Source organism: Homo sapiens, chromosome 15, assembly GCF_000001405.40.
Source record: "Homo sapiens chromosome 15, GRCh38.p14 Primary Assembly".
Lineage (NCBI taxonomy): Eukaryota > Metazoa > Chordata > Mammalia > Primates > Hominidae > Homo > Homo sapiens.
In genome coordinates this window covers 71,666,456-71,694,098 of record NC_000015.10, presented here as the reverse complement: position 1 = coordinate 71,694,098, position 27,643 = coordinate 71,666,456, and the positions used below count along the sequence as shown (strand labels likewise).

The 27,643-nt window shown below is 40.5% G+C and overlaps 1 protein-coding gene and 1 long non-coding RNA gene across 11 annotated transcripts in view; one reads left to right on the top strand and one right to left on the bottom strand.

The window, feature by feature from the left end:
- THSD4 (thrombospondin type 1 domain containing 4) overlaps positions 1-27,643 on the bottom strand; it is a 686,490-nt gene that overhangs the window by 89,285 nt on the left and 569,562 nt on the right. The window lies entirely within an intron of this gene.
- Positions 2,560-5,398, top strand: THSD4-AS2 (THSD4 antisense RNA 2). The gene is made up of 3 exons (NR_120346.1): positions 2,560-2,733; positions 3,329-3,439; positions 3,545-5,398. It is a non-coding gene; the product is annotated as a THSD4 antisense RNA 2 (long non-coding RNA).

Genomic DNA, 27,643 nt, shown 5'->3' with positions numbered 1-27,643 from the left:
AGAGGAGATCTTTATGCTCACCTCTGCTCAACCTCCAACCTTGACACTGGCTTTTCTTTCTTTCTTTCTTTCTTTTTTTTTTTTGAGACAGGGTCTCACTCTGTCATCCAGGCCTGAGTGCAGTGGTATATGATTCTGTTCTCATGCTGCTAATAAAGACAGATGTGAGACTGGGTAATTTATAAAGGAAACAGGCTTAATGGACTCATAGTTCCACATAGCTGGGGAAGCCTCACAATCATGGCAGGAGATGAAGGAAGAGCAAAGGGATGTCTTACATGGTGGCAGGCGAGAGAGTAGGAGCCAAGTGAAAGGCGAAACCCCTTAGAAAATCATCAAATCTCGGGAGACTTGTTCATTACCATGAGAACAGCATAGGGGAAACCGCCTCCATGATTCAATTATCTCCCACTGGGTCTCTCCTACAACCCATGGGAATTATGGGAGCTACAATTCAAGGTGAGATTTGGGTGGAGACACAGCCAAACCATATCAAGTGGTGAGATCATGGCTCACTGCAACCTCCTGGGCTCAAAGCCATCCTCTCACCTCAGCCTCCAAGTAGCTGGGACTACCGGTGTGCACTACAACACCTGGCTAATTTTTGTATTTTTTGTACAGACCAGGTTTCATCATGTGGACCAAGCTGGTCTTGAACTCCTGGGCTCAAGCAATCTGCCCACCTTGGCCTCCCAAAGTGCTGGGATTACAGGTGTGAGCCACCAAGCCCAGTTGGCTTTGTTTCTTTATCCACCAATTTAGGATCCTTGCTGCTACTGGATCTAAAGAGACAGATCATGAGACTTGGACCTCCTTTTCCTTCTGCCTCACCAGAAAGAATGTATGGATCACCCCAGGATGCTTCCTGCTAAGAGGTTTTTGTGGCCTTACACATCCTTTGATAGCAATGAAAAATGTCTGTCTACTAAAAGGTTTTCCTGATTTTCCTTTCCCATAGGCTAGGTTTCCCCCCACCCTCCCCACATCCTGAAATTATTGAGCTAACATCAGGGTTGATTTCATCTTCAAACGAACCTATCACTAAACATTCAGAACCATAGCAAGAAATTTGAGACCTTTTTATCTCCCTTTAAAAGCAATTTGGACTTCACTCTCATCTGTTTAGGAAACTGCTCTTCCTTAAGTTATTATTCTTTGCCCACTTGGAAGTTTTATGGAATTGTAATTTCAGGAGACTGACTTGTAAATCGTTTCTTTAAATACTTAAAAGCTAGCTTTAAACATTAAAATATGACCTCGGTCAGCATTTCCCCAAATTGTCTTCCCTGGAACATGAGTCCCTTCAGAGGACAGCGCTTCTTATTACCAGGAACACAGCCAGCAGACGTCATCTGCAGCACCTTGGTGCCACTCTCTGCCTCCCCACTTTCTCCTGCTGCTTCCCTTTAAGTACCCTCAGAGGTCAGAGCGACACTCCAACTCAGAGATCTCCTAGTTAACTCCATCAAGCACAGAGGAGGAGACACAGAGTTGAACAACTTGAGAGTTGGGCTCTGGTGGCTAAGCTGAGGTCACCCTGGCCAGCTCCTGACCTACAGTTTACTGGTAGCTCCCTGTACACTGCAGAGCTAAATCTTCCAACTCGGTGAATGAAACAAAACAAAAAACAAAACAAAACAAAAACAAAAAATCTACAGTGGAAGAATATATGTCCTGCCATAAAGTACAGCTTTGACTCTGGCTAAATCACCTTGGCATCTAACAACATAAAAGTGGGGAAAAAAGTCCTCTCGTGTTTTGAGGGATGCTCTGGAATCATAGTTCCAGCCAGATGACCTCATAAGCTATGTAATTCTTGAAACCCATAGCAGCAGTTCAGTTTAGAATAATAGAAACATTGAAATTAACTCATCTTTAACGTACACGTGCACATACACCCACGTCTCCTTTATCAGTCTGTGCCTAGATGTTCTGGAACACTCCTTTGTATATATTAATGTCCTGGTATTTTGTTACTCTTAAACTAATTACATGGGAAGCTAGCCAGATGGAGGCTCTGGTCATTTGGATAGAGAACACACCCATGTGATTACTTGTTACTTTTGGTGAACGTCCCAGCTGGAATGTTGTTATCCCTCCCAGAGAGGTTAAACATTCCAGCCCAACCACACTGCTGTGTTTGGCTACTTGAGGTTTCCACCTGGACGGCTTGATCTTCGGGAATCTTGATTCTAGTTTCATTCTCATTCCCCTGGGGATACGCTATGCCAATCTCTCATGTATTCGCCATGTCCAGCTGCCTGGAGTCCATCTGAGCCTCCCAGCAATGGTTCACTAGGGATCCCCAGGGCAAGGCAGTCCTGTGCTAGACAAGGGAGAGAATGTCAATCTCTCTCACACCCTAAAAAAAGAGAAACACTTCCCAGGGGAGGGAAGAAAAGGCACAGTTCAACTCATCATTACTAAAAGAGACCATGTGTTGAGAGCTGACTGCATGCCAGGTAATCAACCAGGAGTACATTCTGTAGTTTAATCCTGTAATGATTCCTGCTTTAGAGCATAAAGGTCAGAGAAATGAAACAATCTGAGCAAGGCTGTGAAGCCAGAAAGTGATGGCACTGCCTCACTCAGCTCTGCCTCGATCCAACGTCTGTGCTCCTTCCCGTCCAGACAAGCTGCTCCTTAACGATCAGCTAACACCTGAACAGGCATGGTCTCCAGCCAGGTGAAGTCCCTGCCTTGAGTAGCAGGATGTGTTGATGATAAAGGAAGGTGAGTGTATTCTTTTCCTATTTGCTGTTGTAACAAATCACCATTCACTTAGTGGCTTAAAGCAACATAAATGTATTATCTTGCAGTTCTGGAGGTCAGAAGTCTGAAATGGATTTTGCTGGGCTAAAATCAAGGAGTTGGCAGGGCTGTGTTCCTTTACGGAAGCTTTAGGGGAAAAATTGTTTCCTTGCCTTTCCAGCTGCTAGAGTTGTATTTCTTGCACTCCTTAGTTTGTGGCCCCTTCCTTCATCTGCAAAGCCCGCAGTTCAGCCTCTTCAAATCTCTTCCTGACTCAACTCTTCGTCCTGCCCCTTCTACCTAGAAGGACCCTTGTGGTTACACTGGACTCACCTGGATAATCCAGGGTAATCTTTCCATCACAAGGGTCTTCATTAGGACCTTAATTCCATCTGTAACATTAATTCCCCTTTGCCATGTGATATGGTTTGGCTGTATTCCCATCCAAATCTCATCTTGAATTCTCACATGTTGTGGAAGGGACCTTGTGGGAGGTAATTGAATCATGGGGGCAGGTCTTTGCCATGCTGTTCTCATGACAGTGAATAAGTCTCACAAGATCTGATGGTTTTATAAGGAGGAGTTTCCCTGCACAACCTTTTTTTGCCTGCTGCCATCCATGTAAGATGTGACTTGCTCCTCCTTGCCTTCTGCCATGATTGTGAGGCCTCCCCAACCACATGAAACTGTAAGTCATTAAACTTCTTTCTTTTGTAAATTGCCCAGTCTAGGAGATGTCTTTATCAGCAGTGTGAAATGGACTAATACACCATGTAACTTAACATGTTCACAGGTTCTCGGGAGTAGGCTGTGGACAACTTTGGGGGGCCATTATTCTGTCTACCATAGTGAGTATCAGTAAGACTCGGTCCTCCTTGCCATCTCAGGTCCCCACGCCCCAGTCAGGCATGTATACTGACTCTTGGCTCCTACTCTGCTAGACGACCTTGTGACTATCTAGAAGTACAGACTCAGGCACCATCCCAGGAGGTGGGGAGTGGCAGCTGCAGCTGCATGCCACAAGGACCCCAGATTCTCAGCAAGGATTCTGGGCTTTTGTGATTCCGAAGAAAGAGCCAGCAACACCAAAGAGGACAGTTCCACCAAAAGATCTTAAAAAATGTAAGGCTCAGGCAATTACCCATTAATCACAAAACCTCAATACAACTCCAGGGCCAGAGCCAAAGGCAAGGATGGCCCTTCTGCAAAGATCACTCTGGCTGAAATTTGACTTATTTTTCCACCAAAGATTGACTTTGATGCTTAATTGAATCTGATTCCACTGGGATAAAAAATCTTAATTGGAGAAGAGTTTGGGGGCATTTACTCTATTTCATGCATCACCAGTGGGAAGTTTGAAGCGGCATATTTTGGTTAAATATCAAGGACTTTTGAAGAGCAAGACCTGTTCAGGGTTGAAGAGGTTGCCTCATGAAAAAGTCAGCTCTAAGCCTCCACTCACGTTCAGGGACGGGGAAGAACACCCAAACAGGTTGCTCCAGAAAGGATTCTGGACTCAGAACCCAAACTGGAGGGAAATAACACCCGAGGAATCTCTTCCATTGTCCAGAAGAGGTGCTGGCACTTTCATGTGTACATCTTCTCAATCCCCATGATCTCAATGAGGGTGATGGTATCAGTTCCATTTTATGGATGCAGAAACTGAGGTGATGCACGCAGTCTTGCCCCAAGTGACAAATCTCATCCAGCACAGAGCTAGGAGGATGGTGTAGGTCTTTTTCTATCCCACACACCTCTCTGGTTAGGCGTGAAGCCTGGAGGAACTTGGCTCTCCTTTGTGGGTTACTGATTTTATGACAGCACTGAGGGGGAAGGCTTATTCTGTATATGGAGGCAGCTTTATACAACATGATCTCCTTTCATCCTCTCTACCTTCCTCTTATCCTCACTTTATATGTGAGGAGAAAGGAGAGTCACAGAGTTCAAATAACAATGCTCAAGATCAGAGCTGCTCAGTGGCAGACACAGAATTCAGAGCCTGACTTGAGGCTCCATGTCTGGGACTCTCTCCCCTGCCCCTTCACAGACGCTGCTTCCGGAAGCCCAGAGCTACTGAGCATCCGAGGAACCAGGTGGTGGCTCCCAGAGCAGAGAGGCCACACCAGGTTCAAAATCCATCCTTGGTCTGACTTTTTGAGGGTTAAAAACACTTCGTAGAAATTTCCAGTAGAATTATTAGTATATCTTGGTCACATTTTAGATAAACCATCTTTCAGAATCTCATTGAGGAGGAAGTAAACTGAAGAGCTCTACAGGGCCTTATGGATACAGTTGCAGAGTGTGGGGATCCCTGGCTCTTGCCTGCCAGCCAAAGATGGACAAAAGGCGTTCCTGAGCTTTATCTCATGGGCCGGGATGGAGAGGAGGCAGGGAAATGGCCTTGCCCAGGAGGAGAACCATATGCACGTGGTTCTGGAACATCTGTCATAGTGGGGAATGAAAATGTCAAAGTAAGCAAATAATTGAAAAAGAAAAAAACACTGGCAGGGGGTGATTATTCCAAGATGTTAACATTTTGCCCTCAAACACAGGTTTTAGAAAATTACAGGCACCTCTCTCTCTTCTCTCTCTTGCTCTGTCACAGACACACACACACACACACACACACACACACACACAGAGATACAAAACAAAAAAAAACCTCAACAACAAAAAAGAAAAAAACAAAACAAAACAATGAAGATGATTAAACAGGGAACCTAATAGAAGAATGTTACTATTTTTAATTACAGAGGATTTAATTTCCCTTTTTCATCTATTATTTTTGCAAATAAGCTTCTCATCTAGGCTGGAACTGATTATGAAAGGTTGGGAAAATATTTCATTAACTGGAGTAACAACAGTTTTACACATTAGCATTTTACTTTTCATTTTTATGAATCAAATGGAATACGGAGTCTCTTAAAAAATTAGGACACAATTCACAATATGACATCAGGATTAATTCACTGGAGCATGTAAATGCACTCATGTTTAGGGTGAAGTCTGGGTCCCAGTGATGACTAATTCTACACAAGCTCTTAAAGGCTGAAAGGAAAATGTTCTTTGTAACCTTTGGGAACTATAGAAAAATTAACAGAAGAATTCTGGATGGGGCTCAAGACAGAAGACTGGCTTGTAAAGGCTTCCCACCAGTCAATAAATCAAAATCATGTGCTAAATGCTTTATTGCATGCAGAGCATGCAGTTGGGAACTGTGGAGAATTATGAAGAGACGGGAAAATACAGATTTGTGCTCAAGGAGCTTTTTCATTAAAATAGAAGGTAGAGGCAACTGTTACATAGAATACATCTGAACACATGTGAACAAAACAAACATTTACAGGAGATTATAACTGAAGCCACAACTGCAGCCTAAAACAGACTTGGCTAATAACAGACTTAGCTCATAACAGACTCTCAATAAGTGAATGAATGAATAAATGAGAAAAAATGAACAAACAGGTTAATTTGCATATTGGCATACTTTGCATTAGTAATTTCCAAATATTTGCATTCAAATATTTTTGATTGATGAATGGTTGATACAGATGAATTTCTGAGGTGCTGGTTTGTTTTTTTTTTTTTTTTTGAGACAGAGTTTCACTCTTGTTGCCCAGACTGGAGTGTAATGGCACGATCTCAGCTCACTGCAGCCTCCGTCTCCCGGGTTCAAGCAATTCTCCTGCCTCAGCCTTCCGAGTAACTGGGATTACAGGTGCCCACCACCACTCCTGGCTAATTTTTGTATTTTTAGTAGAGACAGGGTTTCACCATGTTGGCCAGGCTGGTCTCAAACTCCTGGCTCAGGTGATCCACTCGCCTTGGCCCCCCAAAGTGCTGGGATTACCGGTGTGAGCAATGGCGCCTGGCCAAGGTGCTGGCTTTTAAGGTTAGCTTGTGAGTTCAGCCGTTTTAGTGGTTTTTCACGGTCTCTTATGCCTGTTTTCTAAAAACAGAAAGTGCTGTCAGGAGGAAGCAATAATGCTCTGGTTATAGCTTCCTGGTCCTAACAGCAAATATCCCATAACTTCTAAAAATTATAGCATAATTTTTCATATAGAATAAAATTTAAAACAGCAAAACCTAACAACATTAAGAGGTGGACTCAATAGTCCTTAAAGAACAAGCAGTTAAAGAAGGTGGACATCTAGTGAGAAGTCTGTAGTTTAATTTTTATTCTCTAGGGGTTAATAGATGCCACCTGCCTCATGCTCAGAGTTGACTATGAAACTTTTATCAACTAAATGTTGGAAGGAAGCGTGATATCCTGCTTTGGTACCAGCCAACAGGCAGGATATGTGACTGTCCATTGCCTTGGTTACTGTTCATCTGCGTGCTGGTAGAACTCTCCTTTAAGATGGTCAACTAGTGTTGACTGAGATATTCCTAAGTCTTAACCAGTTTTCGGACCCCTGCCAGGAATTCATTTAGTGTGGCGGTCACCAAAACACAGTCTCTGAGCCAAATATGGCCTGCCACCTGCTTTTGTAAATAAAGTTTTATTGGAATCAGTCACTGCTTTTGCATAGGAGAGTTGAGTAGTTGTGACAGTGTCCATAGGGACTGCAAAGCCTAAAATATTTCCTATCTGGCTGTAAATCTTCAGTTTTCTTGCTACTGCTTCCCCCCACAGAGATTGGAACAACAGAGTGCACCATGTCCTCCATCACTACTGACTTCCCCTTCCCCCAAGAATGGGTCTAGGGACTCCTCCTCTTCCTTTGTCCTTATAACCCAAGCTTAGCAATATGGTGTTTGTGGGTGAAACGTCATGTCATTACTCTCACTATCCCATGTGTTCTGATTTCATGGTTTATATCAACTGACAGAGACTGATGAAGTGATGAAGAGGCAGTGCTCTGGCCATCTCAAAACAAAGGTGCTCCTATGTGGAGGGAACAGCTGTCCTTTTTTGTCTGGTATAAACTGTATAGCCCTGATTCAGTAGACAGAGAGAGAAACAGTTTCTTTCTCACCTCAGCCCTCAAAATCATGCAGACTACACTCTCCAAAGCAATACAATCAGGTATTAACAGCACAAATGCAACCAGTTAAGCATGTAAATCTCAACAGATGCCTCAAGTAGTTTGGGTTAATAAGTGAATCCAACTTACACATCATGGGTATAGAGTTTCAGTTTTGGAAGATGAAGAAAGTTCTATGGATGGGTGCTGTTGATGGTTGTACAATAATGTGAATGTGCTTAATGCCACTGAACTGTACATTTAAAATGGTTAAAATGGTAAATTTTATGTTATATATATTTTACCATAAAGTTTTAAAAATTTCTTATTAGGGGAAGCTGGGTTAAGAGTACATGGGAACTCTGCATTCTCTCTGCAACTCTTCTGTAAATTTAACATTACTTGAAAATAAAAAGTTTAAAAAAATGGATATATTTCCATTTACTTGGAAAAGTATATCTGAAAGTATGGTCCTTAAGATCCTCTCAGGGGATCTTTGAGATTAAACCTATTTCCATAACAACTCTAAGATGCTATTTGCCTTTTTTTCTCTTACTCATGAGTATAAAGAACATGACAAGTTTATTGATGTGGTTTCAGATTTCCCATTGCAACTAACCTTTAAGAAACTACCACTTTTCTAGTTTGGTATAGTATCAAAGGAGAAGATTCACAATGATCTGAAAAGACCACTAAACTACCTCTCTATTTTCCAACTACATATTTATGTGAAACCAGATTTTCTTCATATACTTTAGCCAAATAATCTATCACAATAGATTGGAGAAGCAGATATGAGAATCCAGCTGTCTTCTATTAGGCCAGACATTAAAAGATACAGTATTTGCAAATTGTAAAATGATGCCACTCTTCTCAAAATGTTTTTGCTCTGGGAAATAGTTACTTTAAAAAAACTGTTACTGTATTATATAGTGAGTTTATTATTGTTATTTGAAAGCAAAGTAATATAAAATTCTCAAATTTCAGTTTAAAATGTGAATACTGTAAATATTAACGAATAAATTCATATGAACAAAAGCTCTCTGGGGTCTTCAGTTTTAAAGAGGAGAAAAGGGTCCTGAGATGAAAACATTTAAGAACCACTGAGAAAACAGCAAAAACAGAAGTGTCACACATTGAATTTATGCAATTTAAATACTCTTATTTCTTTTTTTTTTAAAAAGAGGAAACCAAGGTAGAAATCATAAAACAGAAGTATGTGAATTCAAGAAAGAAAAACACACATAAGAACCTGAGAGCTGGTCTCCAAGACATTTTTGAAAATAAGCAAATTTAATAAAAAAGCAATAAAGCCCAAATAAGAGAATATATCAGATGATGCTGAAATTAAAAGTGAATTTGATATGTAATTCTATACTACATTTGAAATTCTCCATGAAAAAGATACATTAAAAAATTACCAGCTTGATTTAAGATGAACAAGAAAACATAGTAGACTCACAGCCATAGAAGAATTGTTACAAGTTAGCAGTAATTTCTTCCAAAAATATTCTAGTGCCAGATGTTTTTTATTGGTGAGTTTTTATAAAAATCTGAAGGAACAGATTATTATATAAGCTTTTCCAGAGCACATAAAAATTGGAACACTAACCTAACCTCCACCTCAGAGAGGTAGCACAAAATGAAAACAATAGGCCAATCTCACTTCGGAATACAGATTTTAAAAATCCCAAATAAGGTCCTAGCAAATTGAATTCAACAGAACATTAAAAAAACCATTCAGCAAGATGAAACAGGGTATAATCCAGGAATTCAAGGATAATATAGAAAACTTTAAAGAAAAAATAACGTAAGTAGGTGCCAAAATGTCATTTAAAACTCATCCTGGTAAAAAAAAAAAAAGATTACAAGATTAGAAATAGACTTTCTTACCCCAATGATGAGCATGTAATCATATATTCAATTAAAATATTTATTGAGCATACATCCATTTTCCTTGCTAGTAAAAATTAGGAGCATTCACATTAAAATCAGAGATAGGTTAAGGATGTCTGCTATTCAGAGTAATTACTATTGGAAAGGAGGAGGCAATATTATAATTATTTCTATATGGTATGATTATATCACTAGAAAACGATGAGAATCAACTCAAATTACTCAGAATTTATAAAAGCGCAACGAAATTACCAGATAGAGGTAAATATAAAAAAACCCATAACTTTTCTGTATATTGATAAGAATTTTAGAGATAAAAAGGAACAGATTCCATTCTTTGTCATCATCATCATACCACAGCAAAATGCAATTAAATACCTATGATGAATCTTTACAAGGAATGCAGAGAATTTATATGGAAAATAACAAAACTTCACTGGCAGATGTAAGCTATTTGAATAAACGGTAATAAATGCTATGTTCTTAGACTGAATGGTTTTGTTGCTGTTTTGAGATGGAGTCTTGCTCTGTCGTCCAGGCTAGAGTGCAGTGGTGTGATCTTGGCTCACTGCAACCTTGCCTCCTGGGTTCAAGTGATTCTCATGCCTCAACCTCCTGAGTAGCTGGGACTATGGGCACCTCCCACCATGCCCAGCTAAATTTTTGTATTTTTAGTACAGATGGGGTTTCACCTGTTGGCCAGGTTGTTCTCAAACTCCTGACCTCAAGTAGGCCGTTCGGCTCGGCCTCCCAAAGTGCTGGGATTACAGGTGTAAGCCACTGAGCCTGGCCAGACTGAACATTTTAACCATGTCTACTCCTCCCAAATGAATTTATAGATCTAATACACTCTGGGCATGAATCAGGTTGGAATTCAAGGATCACATTCCTTAAGACATTGACAACCTAACTCAAATAGCAGCCTGCTCTTCCAGCCAGCACTCATTCTCCTCTTCCCCTGTTTTATTTTTTATAGCATGTCTCATCATCTGAAATTACCTTTTTGTTCTTTCGTCTCCAGTTTCCCCGGTAGAATTTTGTAAATGCCATCAGGGCTGGTGTGCCCTTTTCTGAGTATTCCCAGTACCCAGAATTCCACCCGGCACACAGTAAGGACTCAGTACATGTTTATTGAATGAATTTAACATAATTGCGTGCAAACACCCATAGGATTTTTTTTTTCCTTACATATGACAAAATGGTTTCAAAAATTCACCTGGAATAATGCTAGACTGTCTGAAAATTGTTATTGAAAAGAAGCAAGGCTGGGTGCGATGGCTCACACCTGTAATCCTAGCACTTTGGGAGGTCAAGGTAGGCAGATTACTATAGTCCAGGAGTTCGAGGCCAGCCTGGCCAATATGGTGAAACCCTGTCTCTACAAAAAATACAAAAATCGGCCAGGCATGGTGGTGTGAGTCTGTAGTTCCCGCTACTTGGGAGGCTGAGGTAGGAGGATCTCTTGAGCCCAGGGGGGTTGAGGCTGCAGTGAGCCATGATTGCACCACTGCACTCCAGACTGGGCAAAGAGTGAGACCTCGACTCAAAAAAAAAAAAAAAAAAAGAAGAAGAAGAAGAAAGAAAGAAAGAAAGAAAGAAAGAAAGAAAGAAAGAAAGAAAGAAAGAAAGTAGCAAAAGAGGGAAGAATTGCCATGCCAGATACTAAATCACATTTTAAAGCTATGATAACCAAAATACTCTGTGTGGTACAGAAATTATTTGACAGATAAATGGAATACAATAAATGGTAAGTATGTGACTTAGCACATTCTACACATTCCAATGTTAAATAAATGAACCACTCAACAAATTGGTTTGTAAAATTGGCTAAACATTAGGAAGAAATCTACCTTCTCATTTTATACTCTACTCCAAGGTAAATGTTAAAAATGTTGAGAAAAAAAAAAAAAAAGCCAGATACAAAACAGTATATGCTGTATTATTCCATTTATATAAGGTTTTTCTAAAAACAGACAAAAACTAATGTATGGTGTGAACAATCACGGTAGTGGTTCTTTCTGCGGTGGGGAGGTTAGTGACAGAGAGGGGACACTGGAAGGGGCTTCTGGGAGCTGATCAAGTTCTATTTCTTCATCTGAGTACTAGTGACGTGACTGTGTTCACTTTGTGAAAATTCATCAAGCTGTACTTATAGTTTTGAATAGAGAACTTTTCCTGTGTATTTATACTTAGCATTTCAATAAAAAGCTTATCCAACAAATAAGTAAGTGCTAAGCCAGCCAATGGCTCTGGCCAGACAATAGGCTTTTGGCACTTAAACAGGTATCTCTTTTTCACTTGTGCTTTGAGAAGAGGGGATAAAGTCTGTGATGAAAGTTTAACTTACTTAATTGTAATGAATTCAGCAGGTCCATAAAGACCTTGGGTTGAACTATGTCTTCATCCTTTCCAGGGGGGGTCGGATTTCACAGGGGCTCCAAGGGTCCCCATGCTGAATGGTACTGAGAGACCGTGCCCATGACCCTCACATGCTGACAGCAGAAATTTCACTGTTCTCTGAGGCACAGCTGAACATTTTAAAGACCAACACATCAGAGAATAGTAAGTCAGTATTCATATTAAAAGAGGAACATCTAATAGCCCAATCCTCATACTTGCCTAGGTCTGAAATACAAGTGTTGATCAACTTCCGTTTGCCCCCATGAACATCTTGGTACCACCTCAAGCCAATGAGCTGAGTTAGGGGACACCATATTTACTGGATACAACTCAAACGGTGCTTGATCTTAGTTCACTATCAGTTAGTTATAAAGGCATGTGCCATGTAAAACTTTTTTTTTTTTTTTTTTGAGACGAAGTTTCACTCTTTTGCCCAGGCTAGAGTTAAGTGGAACCATCTTGGCTCACTGCAACCTCCACCCCCCCGGTTCAATCGATTCTGCCGCCCCAGCCTCCCGAGTAGCTGGGATTATAGGCTCGCCACCACACTCTGATAATTTTTGTATTTTTAGTGGAGATAGGATTTCCCCATGTTGGCCAGGCTGGTCTGGAACGCCTGACCTCAGGTGATCCACCTGCCTTGGCCTCCCAAAGTGCTGGAATTACAGGCATGAGCCACCACGCCCAGTGTGCCACGTAAACTTTTGATACTGATTGTTGGCTTGATAAGTCTAGAAAAAAATTGTCTTTTGCTTTTGGAAAGGTATTTATTGTCTAGACAAAGTCTCAAAGCACAATTATGTGGATCTCTAACCATATAATCCTGGACTAATTTGTATAACAGTAGCAACAATTAAAATACCATAGTAGGGCCGGGAGCAGTGGCTCATGCCTGTAATCCCAGCACTTTGGGAGGCCAAGGCAGGTGGATCACTTGAGGTCAGGGGTTCAAGACCACCCTAGCCCACATGGTGACACTGTCTCTACTAAAATACAAAAATTAACTGGGCATGGTGGCACATGCCTGTAATCCAGCTACTCAGGAGGCTGGGACAGGAGAATTGCTTGAACCTGGGAGGAAGAGGTTGCAGTGAGCTGAGATCATGGCACTGCACTCCAGCCTGAGCAACAGAGTGAGATTCCATCTCAAAAAAAAAAAAAAAAAAAATTACTAGTAATGACATCTGATGTTTATTGAATAAGTATTTTGTGCCAGTCATTGTGCTAGATGCTTTACCTGTTTTACCTTATTTAACCTTCCCAATAACCCTATGAGATAAATATTATTGTCAATTCATCTTACAGGTAAAGAAAATGACATACGGAGAGGTCAGGTAACTGACTGAAGGCTATAGAGCCAGAAAGCTGCGTGGCTGAGAGTAGAACTCTTAACTTGCACAATTCTGCTCATACTGAAATGTTTGAGACAGTACTTTGGGTCCTTTGGCCAGTGAAACTGATAATTCAAATTTTTCTTAAAATTCCAAGTGAGTCCTAGCCATGCACGATTTTGTAAGTTAAGGAGGACCTAGCAATGATGTGGAGTATTTATTTACAAGAAATCTTAATGCAGTTGATTAAATCCTTTTTCTCTGATCAACAAATTTTTACCCTACCAACAGAAATTATCTTACAGGTTAATATTGGTCTTCTCGCAGCAATTCTAAAAACTTGGCAAATATGTGATTTGTTAGGGATAATTAAAAATCAAGGAATTCAACTGAAAGCATTCATGTAGGACAGGATCTATGCTGCCTGCTGAGAACCTGCTGTTTGGATTGGGACCTTTGTATGGGAGAAGGCTTAGAGAACCTTGGTGTTCCCAGAACTTACCAACAAAACAGGAAAGACAGGAAAGGCTGGACTAGGTTTCAAAAGTACTGCTTTAGAGACAAGGGAAGGGATTTAGCTTATCTCAAATGCAACCACTCCCCTCTTTTTAAAGAGGACTGATTACCTAAATTTCCAACTCCCAAAATTATTTATCCGTCTTTTCTACTCTGATTTGCTCCAGATCATCTCAAGTTTCCAAGTGCAGTTTATCACTCCCTGATGTAGCAATACTGTGGTGTGTATTACGTTCTTCTATCATAAGGTGCTCAACCTACAGTCACTGATTAAAAACACACGCAAAAACTCTGGTTTTCTAACACGGTCAAATTTACTGTTTGGAATCACAGAGCCCACTGACATAGCAGTATCCTTGTTATTAGTCACTTCCCCTGCCTCAGACTCTTCCTATAGGCCAGGCCTTTTTACAGCAGCCGCTCCCCCTCCTCCTCTACAACTGCCCCAAACTGTCTGCAGAGCAGAGGCAGGACCCTGTCACAACTCTTCTCCAGCCGAGCATCTTCAGATTTAATACAAAGGATGTGGTTCAGGATGAAACAGGCCTAGCTATACCCTGTATTTGCAGTCTCAAATGTCAAGGTCACCCTCACTTATTTCATAAGTGACTAAGTCCAGAACATGCCTCACATTCTTCCTTCTCTGTACCTTAGCTTGTGCTGCTTCTTCAGATTGAAATGCTCTTTCCCTATTTCTTCTGAGAAAAGCCTATCCATCCACCAAAACAAGGGTGGGCAAACCACAGCATGAGGGCTAAACTTGGCGGCTGGCTTTTTTGGTATATCGTATTTTATTGGAGCATAGGCACCCCCATTCATTCACATATTGTCTATGCTGCTTTCTCACTGTGCAGCTGAGTAGCTGTAACAGAGGCCAAATGGCCTGCAAAGCCCAAGATATTTACTATATGGTCTTTCCAAAAAAAAGGTTGCCAGCCCCTGCTCTACAAGCCCAGTTTAAATACCACCTCCCCCAGGTGCCTCCTCTGATTATCCTATTAGAGTTAATTTCTCCATCCTTTGCACTCCCATAGCACTGGGTCTCTTTTCAAAGTCATCAAAGGATTTCCAAATGGACAGTAAATGCCTTTCAGGGAAGGGGCCATGTATCGTTCAACTCTTTCTCTTCATAATATATTGTACACAGTAGGTGCTTACAGATATCCATTGAAATGTTTAATTATCTTGCAGGAATATCAATTCAGACAAAGAGCAATGTTTTCTTTAATCAAAGAAAGAAAATCAGTCCTGATTCACACTAAACACTAGATAATAAAGGGAAAAATAAATATTGATCAATGAGACAAATTCTGCCCCCAAAGCATAACAAATATAGGCGTGACTATAAGGCCACAAAGAAAGTTAAAGGGTGGGGCTATGTGAAAGTACATTTTCCAAGGAAGAACATGAATATTGATTCAGAATTCAGACAGAAGGAGTGAGTCTTTCCCATGCTGACATTTATATGGTTTCTAATTCAGAGAATAGTGTCTGGCTTGGGGACAGAGTAGGGTAGAGTCAGGAGATGCCAAAAGTTATTCTTAAAGCTGTTGATGCTAAAACAGCCAGAGCAAAGCTAATAAAGGCGGTTCATGATGAGAGGGAGAAAGGAGGCTTATCTTCAAAGACCACCCCTTCAGTGACTTATCTGCAAGACTTCAAGGTTTAGAAGAAGAGCACAATGTGCCTAGAGTTCTGCTTAATAAAAAAGGGGAAAGGGTGCTCAACTTCTTCCATGGGAAAGTAAGGCCTGAAGAGAGAAGAGGGCAATCTTAGAAGGCAGGTTTCACATTTCTGAAGCTCTGATGCTCACGAGGAAGGAAGAGAGGCTCCCAGTGAGAGCAGTAACCATGGAGAAGCAAAGGGTGGGTCATCCCCAGCTGTTGGTTAAGAAATCTTCAAGATTACTGTTTTTCTCAGGAGTCACTTCTCTTTCATTAAGTCAACTATATTTATTAAACGTTGTTTAAACCTTAGATATCTCTTCTTGGGGCTTAGCTTGTATTAGTTCCCTAATGTGGTAGCTCAGTGATCTAACATATCACAAAAAAGCAAGACTTTGATTCAAACAGGGAAGATTTAAATGCACTTCCAAGTGGGTTAGGGAATAGGCGGATCTAGGGACAGTGTTAACCACATTGGACTTGCAGATAATGGATTCTCAGCTATTATCCTAATCCAGATAGGAGACCTGGGAGCGATTAACAGCCCTGCTGAAGATGCTGTCCTTAGGCGCTGCTGCCTAGAGTGGGCTAGGAGACAATGTTATTCCTCATGCAAGGATAGCGGTGTCAAATCACTTCCATAAAAATTCAAGACTCAGCCAGCTCAGCAACTGTTTCCTGCATTTGAGGAAAGTATCACATTAAGTGTAGGAAAACAGGTGTGGGCATTTTGCATATTTCTGAGACAGACGATACAATTAAAAGCAAAAACAAACCACAGCTTAACTATTTCCCCAGAAAATGAAAGACAAATCCATGTACAAACAGGAAAACTCAGTCTCACATTTCCAGGGTAGCTAGGTGCTAACTATCAATACAAAGCAGAAAATGTGAAACAATCAGCAGAAGGGGGTGGGGCAGAGTTGATTTCCTTTCGTTCCAGCATATCTGAAAGCTTTTCAAGGCAAAGGACTCTGAAAGTGAAAAGAAAGTCCCTGTAAACAGATGCAAGGACATCAGAGCTGTCCTAAATCAAAGGGAGGTGCGCTGTCAGACACCATGTGGAAAGTATGTAATCCAAAAGTAAGTCCAGGAGTGCTAAAACAAACAACAGCATCTTTCCAAATCACAGCAAGAGGGCACAGTCTCTTTGGCATGGAATCTTTGTTTTGTGAATATTTGGTTCTGGACAAGAGTCATAAAAGCTTTTGGTGAAGAAAAGGCAAGAACTGAGTCCAAATAAAAAACAAATACTCAATGATCACTTTCCTCATCTACCAGCATTGACGAGGAACATTCAGCCAAGAGTCAGGATATCACTTTGAGTTGTTTGTGACTTAATCGTCTCCAGGGGCTGCCATGACCTGCAGCAGGTAACAAAGCCCAGCGCAGCATCTTGTCCTGATGCCTCAGAGCTGACCATTGGTGCCTATTATATCACATGCTTAAATACTCTTTCAAAAACACACTTGAAGTGTTGGCGAGAATGTGGAGACATTGAAACTCTGGTTGGAAGATAAAATGGGGCAGTTGCTGTAGACAGCAGTTTGGCAGTTTCTCAAAAAGTTAAATATAGAGTTACCATATGACTCATCAATTCCACTCCTAGGTATATACCCAAAAGAATTGGAAGTAGTGACTCAAACAGGTAGTTGTATGCCAATGTTCATAGCGCATTATTCACAATAACCAAAAGAGAGAAACAGCCCAGGTGCCCATCAACAGATGAATGGATAAACAAAATGTGGCATATACATAAAAAAGAAATGAAATTCTGGTGCATATTACCACAGGGATGAATCTTGAAAACATTATGCTAAGTGAAATAAGCCAGACACAAAAGGACAGATACTGTGTGATTCTACTTGTATGAGGTTCCTAGAATAGGTCAGTGCATGAGGCAGAGAGTTGAAGTTACCAGGGGCTTGGAGGACGGGGAAAGAAGGGGGCTATTGTTTACTGAGTACAGCTTTTGGGATAAGAAAATATTCTGAGGCTGGGCGCAGTAGCTCACACCTGTAATCCCAGCACTTTGGGAGGCCGAGGTGGGCAGATCACGAGGTCAAGAGATTGAGACCATCCTGGCCAACATGGTAAAACCCTGTCTCTACTAAAAATACAAAAATTAGCCAGGCATGGTGGTGCATGCCTGTAGTCCCATCTACTTAAGAGGCTGAGGCAGGAGAATCGCTTGAACCCGGGAGGCAGAGGTTGCAGTGAGCTGAGATCGTGCCACCGCACTCCAACCTGGGCGACACAGCGAGACTCCGTCTCAAAAAAAAATTCTGAAAATGGATCGTGGTGATAGCAGTGAATGTACTTAATGCCACTGAATTATACACTTAACATCATTAAAATGATAAATGTTATGTTTATATATATTTTACCACAATAAAAAAAGAAAAAACACACACTTGATGTTTTATTTCTCTAAAATGTTCTACTCTTTTTAAGAGCTGGATACTCTTTTAAAAGCTAGTTCCAGAAGGTCTGCTGAGGCAAGATGGTGCAAGTCTAGTGACTAAGATAATAACTATGGAGATTTAGCCCAAGGATTCCCAAAGAGAGCATGGGATGCATGATTGTAATCAAGTTTGAGGTAGCAGTGGGGACAGGGATGGAACAGTGAGGAGGGTGCAAGATGGCTGCAAGGAATTCAGTGGAACATGTCTTTCTTCCAGTGGCTGGGAAGTGAGAAGACACAAATACCACCCCACCCTGCCATATTTTTCTTGCAAATGGCCATGGTCATAAACATGCAGGGAAGGTCATAAGTGAGGCCTGTGCCCAGGTTCAAGTCCTGACTCCACCCCTCACAAATTGTTTACCACAGGCAGGTCCCTCAACTATAAAATGCAGATGATGACATTAGTTCCCACCTTGTGTGAGTGTTGTGAGGGTTAGATGAAGGAGGTGGGAGACCCAGGATTCCAAGCATCTAGTGAGTAGTAATATGACTCCAGTACCACGAGCGAGGTCTCATGATCAAGAGGGGCTAAGATGTCTGAGCACAGAACCCCCACACGGGCTGCACACCATGCATGGGCCTCAGGAGAGCCAGCACGACCTTTATTTCTGTATCCACACCACTGAGCACAGTTCCTGGCTCATGGTGTGTACTCCAGAGAAGACTGTCTAAGGCTGGCCTGTTTGTCTTCAAGGATTGCACGGCCTCACCGGGAAGAGCACAGACATGTAAACAGATAAACTACAGTAAAATATATTTAAGTACCGAGCTGGAGAGATGATCAGAGTTCTATGAGAATCCAAAGAAAAACTGACTTTCTTTGCTTTTCTTTTTTTTCTGTCCTTTATTCTTCTGCCATGTATTAAGAAAGCAAGAAAGGACTCCAAACACCACAGGGCTGGCTATAAAAGGGCATTTTAAGATGGTACTTCTGTTGTTGGGGCTGCCTCACAGCTGTTCAGAGATAAGCAATCTAGGGGCCCACTACCAAGAACTGAGTGAAATCTGGAAAGTAAACCAAAGGAGGGGGATTGGATTGGAAGCTAAGGATTCAGAGTGAGCTGATGAATGTGAACTTAATGGTACATAAAACGGTCATTCAAAGAAAACCTTAGATATTTATTGTTATTTTAAAAATATCATTCTGAAATAAGTGGCCTACAAAACTTCAGCACTGAAAGGGATCTTAGTGATCAAACAGGCCAGGGTTTCTTACTTCAGCACCACTGAGGTTTAGAGCTGAATAATTCTTCACTGTGGGAGCCGCCCTGTGCACTGTGGAAGGTTCAGCAGCATCCCTGGCCTCTATCGACAGATGCCAGCAGCACCCGCCTCCCCCCTTCTCTGCCCTCACTGTAACAATCGAAATGCCTCCAGCCATTGCCAAATGTATGGGGAGCGGGTGCAGAATAGTCCCTAGTTGACACCTACTGACATAGGGAAAAGGCCTTTTATCCTGAAAGGACATTGCAATCACCTTTAAAGTTTAAAAAAAAATCCTGAAGTCCAGGCTGTCAGGCTGTGCCCCTGACCAATTAAACATGCAGGTGGGACTCAGGCATCAGCATAGTTCAAACATGCCTCACACAGCATGCCTCCCATGAGTGCAATGTGCAGCCAGGGTGAAAAGCACTGATCCAGGGAGATATGGGAACTAATAGGGTTGACATGCAGGGTATTTTACCTACATTTTCTCATTTAAAGGTAATAGTTCTATGACATTGTAATTGTTTTCCTATTTTGCCTATGGGGAAACCGAATCTCAGAAAAGTTAAGGAACTTGTCCAAGAGCATCCCAGCTGGAAATAAGAGCTCTGCAAAGACCAATTTCAATGGGCAGAGCTGGACTGTAAATGGAAGACAAGGCCAAGAACTGGAGACCACATAAGAGCAAGAGCAGAGGAATGCCACTTAGACCACTGGATGCAGCCTAGGGCTGGGGGAGTAAGGTGGAGAGGCATAAACACATCATCACACATTTATACCCCTAGAGAAACCATTCTCTGAATAGAATGAGGTCAGCACAGGAGACGCACAGAAGAAGCATGTCTACTTTTCTTTCTCTTTTTGTTCTTCTGGGAAGAGGCAACTACTCCGACAGACAGTTGGGTGCAAAAGCCATAAGAACACACAACTGTGCCAGTTAAATCAGGTAGGCTTTTGATGTCTAAGAAGAAAAGTATATGGCCAGCCGTGGTGGTGGGCGCCTGTAGTCCCAGCTACTCGGGAGGCTGAGGCAGGAGAATGGTGTGAACCTGGGAGGCGGACCTTGCAGTGAGCCGAGATCTTGCCACTGCACTCTAGCCTGGGCGACAGAGCGAGACTCTCTGAACAACCTGCTCCTGAAATGACTACTGGGTACATAACGAAATGAAGACAGAAATAAAGATGTTCTTTGAAACCAATGAGAACAAAGACACAATGTACCAGAATCTCTGGGACACATTTAAAGCAGTGTGCAGAAGGAAATTTATAGCACTAAATGCCCACAAGAGAAAGCAGGAAAGATCTAAAATTGACACCCTAACATCACAATTAAAAGAACTAGAGAAGCAAGAGCAAACAAATTCAAAAGCTAACAGAAGGCAAGAAATAACTAAGATCAAAGCAGAACTGAAGGAGATAGAGACACAAAAAACCCTTCAAAAAAATCAATGAATCCAGGAGCTGGTTTTCTGAAAAGACTGATAAAATTGTTAGATCGTTAGCAAGACTAATAAAGAAGAAAAGAGAGAAGAATCAAATAGACGCAATAAAAAATGATAGAGGGGATATCACCACCGATCCCACAGAAATACAAACTACCATCAGAGAATACTATAAACACCTCTATGCAAATAAACTAGAAAATCTAGAAGAAATGGATAAATTCCTGGACACATACACCCTCCCAAGACTAAACCAGGAAGAAGTTGAATCCCTGAATAGACCAATAACAGGCTCTGAAATTGAGGCAATAATTAATAGCCTGCCAACCAGAAAAAGTCCCAGACCAGGCGGATTCACAGCCGAATTCTACCAGAGGTACAAAGAGGAGCTGGTACCATTCCTTCTGAAACTATTCCAATCAATAGAAAGAGAGGGAATATTCCTTAACTCATTTTATGAGGCCAGCATCATTCTGATACCAAAGCCTGGCAGAGACACAACAAAAAAAGAGAATTTTAGACCAATATCCCTGATGAACATTGATGCAAAAATCCTCAATAAAATACTTGCAAACCGAATCCAGCAACACATCAAAAAGCTTATCCTCTAAGATCAAGTTGGCTTCATCCCTGGGATCCAAGGCTGGTTCAACATACGCAAATCAATAAACATAATCCGTCACATAAACAGAACCAAAGACAAAAACCACATGATTATCTCAATAGATGCAGAAAAGGCCTTTGACAAAATTCAACAGCACTTCATGCTAAAAACTCTCAATAAACTAGGTACTGATGGAATGTATCTCAAAATAATAAGAGCTATTCATGACAAACCCACAGCCAATATCATACTGAATGGGCAAAAACTGGAAGCATTTCCTTCGAAAACTGGCACAAGACAGGGATGCCCTCTCTCACCACTCCTATTCAACATAGTGTTGGAAGTTCTGGCCAGGGCAATCAGGCCAGAGAAAGAAATAAAAGGGTATTCAATTAGGAAAAGAGGAAGTCAAATTGTCCCTGTTTGCAGATGACATGATTGCATATTTAGAAAACCCCATCGTCTCAGCCCCAAATCTCCTTAAGCTGATAAACAACTTCAGCAAAGTCTTAGGATACAAAATCAAGGTGCAAAAATCACAAGCATTCCTATACACCAGCAACAGACAAACAGAGAGCCAAATCATGAGTGAACTCCCATTCACAATTGCTTCAAAGAGAATAAAATACCTAGGAATCCAACTTACAAGGGATGTGAAGGACCTCTTCAAGAAGAACTACAAACCACTGCTCAACAAAAATAAAAGAAGACACAAACAAATGGAAAAACATTCCATGCTCATGGATAGGAAGAATCAATATTGTGAAAATGGCCATACTGCCCAAGGTAATTTATAGATTCAATGCCATCCCCATTAAGCTACCAATGACTTTCTTCACAGAATTGGAAAAAACTACTTTAAAGTTCATATGGAACCAAAAAAGAGCCCGCATTGCCAAGACAATCCTAAGCCAAAAGAACAAAGCTGGAGGCATCAAGCCACCTGACTTCAAACTATACTACAAGGCTACAGTAACCAAAACAAGCATGGTACTGGTACCAAAACAGAGATATAAACCAATGGATCAGAACAGAGCCCTCAGAAATAACACCACATATCTACAACCATCTGATCTCTGACAAACCTAACAAAAACAAGAAGTGGGGAAAGGATTCCCTATTTAATAAATGGTGCTGGGAAAACTGGCTAGCCATATGTAGAAAGCTGAAACTGGATCCCTTCCTTACACCTTATACAAAAATTAATTCAAGATGGATTCAAGACTTAAATGTTAGACCTAAAACCATAAAAACCCTAGAAGAAAACCTAGGCAATACAATTCAGGACACAGGCATGGGCAAGGGCTTCAGTCTAAAACACCAAAAGCAATGGCAACAAAAGCCAAAATTGACAAATGGGATCTAATTGAACTCAAGAGCTTCTGCACAGCAAAACAAACTACCATCAGAGTGAACAGGCAACCTACAGAATGGGAAAAAATTTTTCCAATCTATCCATCTGACAAAGGGCTAATATCCAGAATCTACAAAGAACTTAAACAAATTTCCAAGAAAAAATCAAACAACTCCATCAAAAAGTGGGCGAAGGATATGAACAGACACTTCTCAAAAGAAAACATTTATGCAGCCAACAGACACATGAAAAAATGCTCACCATCACTGGCCATCAGAGAAATGCAAATCAAAACCACAATGAGATACCATCTCACACCAGTTAGAATGGCAATCATTAAAAAGTCAGGAACTACAGGTGCTGGAGAGGATGTGGAGAAATAGGAACACTTTTACACTGTTGGTGGGACTGTAAATTAGTTCAACCATTGTGGAAGACAGTGTGGCAATTCCTCAAGGATCTAGAGACCCAGCCATTCCATTACTGGGTATATACCCAAAAGATTATAAATCATGCTGCTATAAAGACACATGCACACGTATGTTTATTGCGGCACTATTCACAATAGCAAAGACTTGGTACCAACCAACCCAAATGTCCATCACTGATAGACTGGATTAAGAAAATGTGGCACATATACACCATGGAATACTATGCAGCCATAAAAAAAGGATGAGTTCATGTCCTTTGTAGGGACATGGATGAAGCTGGAAACCAGCATTCTGAGCAAACTATTGCAAGGACAGAAAACCAAACACCGCATGTTCTCACTCATAGGGGGGAAATGAACAATGAGAACACTTGGACACAGGATGGGGAACATCACACCGGGGCGTGTTGTGTGGCAGGGGGATGGGGGAGGGATAGCATTAGGAGATATACCTAATGTAAATGACAAGTTAATGGGTGCAGCACACCAACATGGCACATGTATACATATGTAACAAACCTGCACGTTGTGCACATGTACCCTAGAACTTAAAGTATATATATACATATATGTAAAATTTAAATCTAAAAAAAAACAAACAAAAAAAGAAAATGTGGCACATATACACCATGGAATACTATGCAGCCATAAAAAAGGATGAGTTCATGTCCTTTGTAGGGACATGGATGAAGCTGGAAACCATCATTCTGAGCAAACTATTGCCAGGACAGAAAACCAAACACCGCATGTTCTTACTCATAGGTGGGAATTGAACAATGAGAACACTTGGACACAGGGCAGGGAACATCACACACCGGGGCCTGTCATGGGGTGGGGGATAGGGGAGGGATAGCATTAGGAGAAATACCTAATGTAAATGACGAGTTAATGGGTGCAGCAAACCAACATGGCACAGGTATACATATGTAACAAACCTGCACACTGTGCACATGTACCCTAGAACTTAAAGTATAATAATAAAAAAAAAGGTACACCCGAAGTGGCATAATCCTGGAGGCTTCCTTGGCAGTGGAGCTGAAGAGAAGCCTGTTTCTTGTCATTGCAAGGAAATTGCAAGGCAAACTAAACAGGTTTGTTAAGCAGTCACTGATACATATTGGAGTCTTGAGATAAAGCAGGGAAAATATGTATTAAATTCATTATCATGCTAGGCAATTCGTGTTTATCCTACTGAATCCTCATATGCCTCTAAGAGAGGATGATTTGTATCTGTCTGCCTGTCTGACCCCTGCCCACGCACACTCAGAGGAAACCTGCCTGACTGCAGCCTGGCAGCATACTGGGCTCTGCTCCATTTGGAGAAAAGGACTGTTGCAAAAACAGATGAAAGTAATTGTGGAGGAAAGCAACTGAACGTACCTAGAATAAGCAACTATCCATTATCTTTATAAATATAAACTGACAACTAAGGATTGATCATCAGACATTCAGAAGAAAACTAAACAAAACGGGCAAGTTTTAATAAAAATTCTTAAAAGCTAGTTATAGAAAGAAAAATCCTTATTTTGGTGAAAGGTATCTGTCAGAAAACCAACAGCCACAAAAAAAAAGGACAGAATTGTGTATACCTGTGTAACAAACCTGCACTTTCTGCACATGTACCCCAGGACTTAAAGTATAATAAAAAAAGATGAAAATTTTTCACCACAGAGTAATAGATAATTTAAGCAGAGTTGAAATGTAAGATAAAGGCTAATATTTTAGATAGACATCACCAAAAATGGTTATTACTGATTATGTATATGAGTTCTTAAAATCAATAAGAAAACTACAAGTGCAATTTAAAAATGTCAAAGTCATAGAGTATAAAGAACAATAAAAATTAGTGGTCAGGAAAATGCAAATAAAAAAGATCTAGTAAGAATTAAGTACACTTATAATATTTAGTTTTGGTAACGGTGTGAAGAAAGAATTATTTCATGTGCTTCTGGTGGGAGTGTAAATTGGCACGACTTTGGAGAGAAATTTTGCTTTATTTTCCAGAATTTTAAGTGTGCATTCCATTTGACCTACAAATTCTTCTGCCAAGAGTCTATCCTACAGAATTATTTATATAAGTATGAAAAGATATACATATTAGGATATTCATGGAAGCAGTACTTGTTAGAGAACCTTTAAGTTTTCTTCTCCAAGAATTTGCTCAGTTTCTTCCAGAAATAACTTTTCCAGTTATTTATCTTGGGCCTTATCTTTCATGCTATAGGCTTAAGAAAATGTCTAGTGATCCTTGGTCACCCATTCATGTTATCTTCAGTTATCCATTGGCATTCAAGACAAAAGCAATGTGAAGGTTTCCTGAGAACCCTGTGCACGTTGTGAGAGTTTGTTAAAAGGCTAAGTTCTACAGAGTCAGAGAGTGGGGTACCAGTCAGCAAGCTGCCCTTTCTCCAATTCCACAATGAAGACAGAAGTCTTGCAGCACCCACCTCTCATCCATGTCCTAGTTCCTTTCCGTATTTGGACGAGGAGGCAATGCCAGCATTCTGAATGTGTGTGTGTGCTGGGAGTGGGGGTGTCTGTTCCACAGACAGGTTTTTTCACTTCTTTCCCCATTTTCAGCCACATTCTCCCCTTCTCCCCTCCCTTTTACCTGCTGTCTTCCAGGCTCAGAGCCTCTTGGGGCTTCATCTCACAGGTCAGCCCCTTCTCATCCCAGACCCCCTCTGCACACCTGGGCTGTGATTTCCTCTGCTCTGCTAGTGAACATCCTCCCATCTGCTTTCTGTCTTCCAAAAATCTGTTAAGATATTTGCTCACTGATGCCCCCACTCCAGTCTTAGTGGTTTTAGGTCACATCTTTTAGTTAAATCGCTTTAGTATCATTTTGAAGGAATCTTTGGAGAAAGGGAAGAAAAGCTCATGTGCTCAGTCTGCCATCTTGAACCAAAATTCTAAAGTATTATTTGTAATGTTAGAAAACTAGAGGCAATCTAAACATCCCTCAGTAGGGAAGTACCTAAATAAATAATGGTACATCCACTGTACAGAATACTCTGCACTAAAAAAAAATCAATAACATAGGCTTATATGTATTAATATGAAAAGATACCCATGATATGATATTAAAATAAGGACACAAATTGCAAAAAGTATGTATAGTAATATCAATTTTAGAAAATAGCTATTTATTGGTACTTACAGAAAGGGCTGGAGAATACACAATGAACTGTGAACAGTGGTTATTTACCTTCAAGTAGTCTTTACACTTGAAGGCAGTGGATCAAGTGTGGAGTTTGTATGAAGAGGGAATTTTACCTTTTTGCTCTATTTCATTTGTCTTCCTTGAAATTTTTACAGTGAACATGCAAAAAATATTAGGGATTAATAGTCATACGAATGTAAGACATCATAGTATTTAAACATCCAATGTTTCCTGTAAAGAAAGCTGTTCAAAGAATAAATTAAAGCTTGCAAATTATAGATGATCCATGATACTTGACTTTTTTCAATGCTGACCATTACTGTTGTTTAAAACTTTTAGGAGAACATGCTTAAAAGTAAGAATACTGCCAGTTTATTTTTGAAAGTTTACAGATCTTTAAAAATTCCTTCCAAGTCTAAAACTCTATGACAATCTAACATGTTGGCAGGTGGTACATGTCTTGTATAATCAATTTGTGCTTGGTATGCTTTTATGTCTGATTTCTTAACTGTTGCATAATGACATTAGTAAACTGAACTGACTGAACTATGCCAAACTTTGATATTTCAGCTAAAATAATTTTACAATATCTTTTATTAAGAAAAAGGCAAGTAATACAAAATGTCAATCATTTAAATAAACTTTTTTTTCCCCAAATGGCAGAGTTCAGAATAATTCACATACAAAAGGAGAATTCATAGCTTACAATAGATACAGGAGTTCTAAAGTCTTTCCCATTTAAAAAAATTTAGGACTCTAGAACTCATGAAACAGTCTATATTTTGGAGCATGTAAACAAATTCAAATAAACAGAAATTTGGAGCTCAAGTCTGCAGAGTTTCATTGGTGTATAACCCCAAATGAGATGAATAAACATCTTATCTCCTGAAATATGTGCACCATTAAATGTTATGATTTCTCTAGCTTTGCTTGGAGACAAGAGTAAGCATTGTGGTGAGTTGGCCTCTTCCCCCAGCTCTACATAGGCCACTCCTCCTAGGAGTTATGGCTGGGAAGGGGCCAGACCCAAAGCCTTCAGAATCTGAGTCTAGTAGGCTAGGCCTTGATGGTCAAACTAAATTAAGCCAGAAACTCAGAGTTAACTTTAATGTACCATCACTATAAATATATCAGCCAAGGTTTCTGGAATACATGCCTCCGTTTTCTATTTAGTTTTTAAGTTTTAAATTTTAATTTTCATATCTTAACTCTATAATTATACCTTCAGTAAGTTTTAGTAAGTCTAAAGCATTTTGAAATAAGCAAAGTATTAATAGTAAGTTTTAGTACGTCTAAAGCTTTTTGGAATAAGCAAAGTATTAATAAATAATGTCCAGTGTTAAAGATCAGAAGGCCATGTATGTGAAAATGCTTTGGAGACTGAAGTATTATATATGTGTGGTATGACTACTGTTATTAACTGAGAAGCCTAGGGTGGGAGGAGGGAGAAGA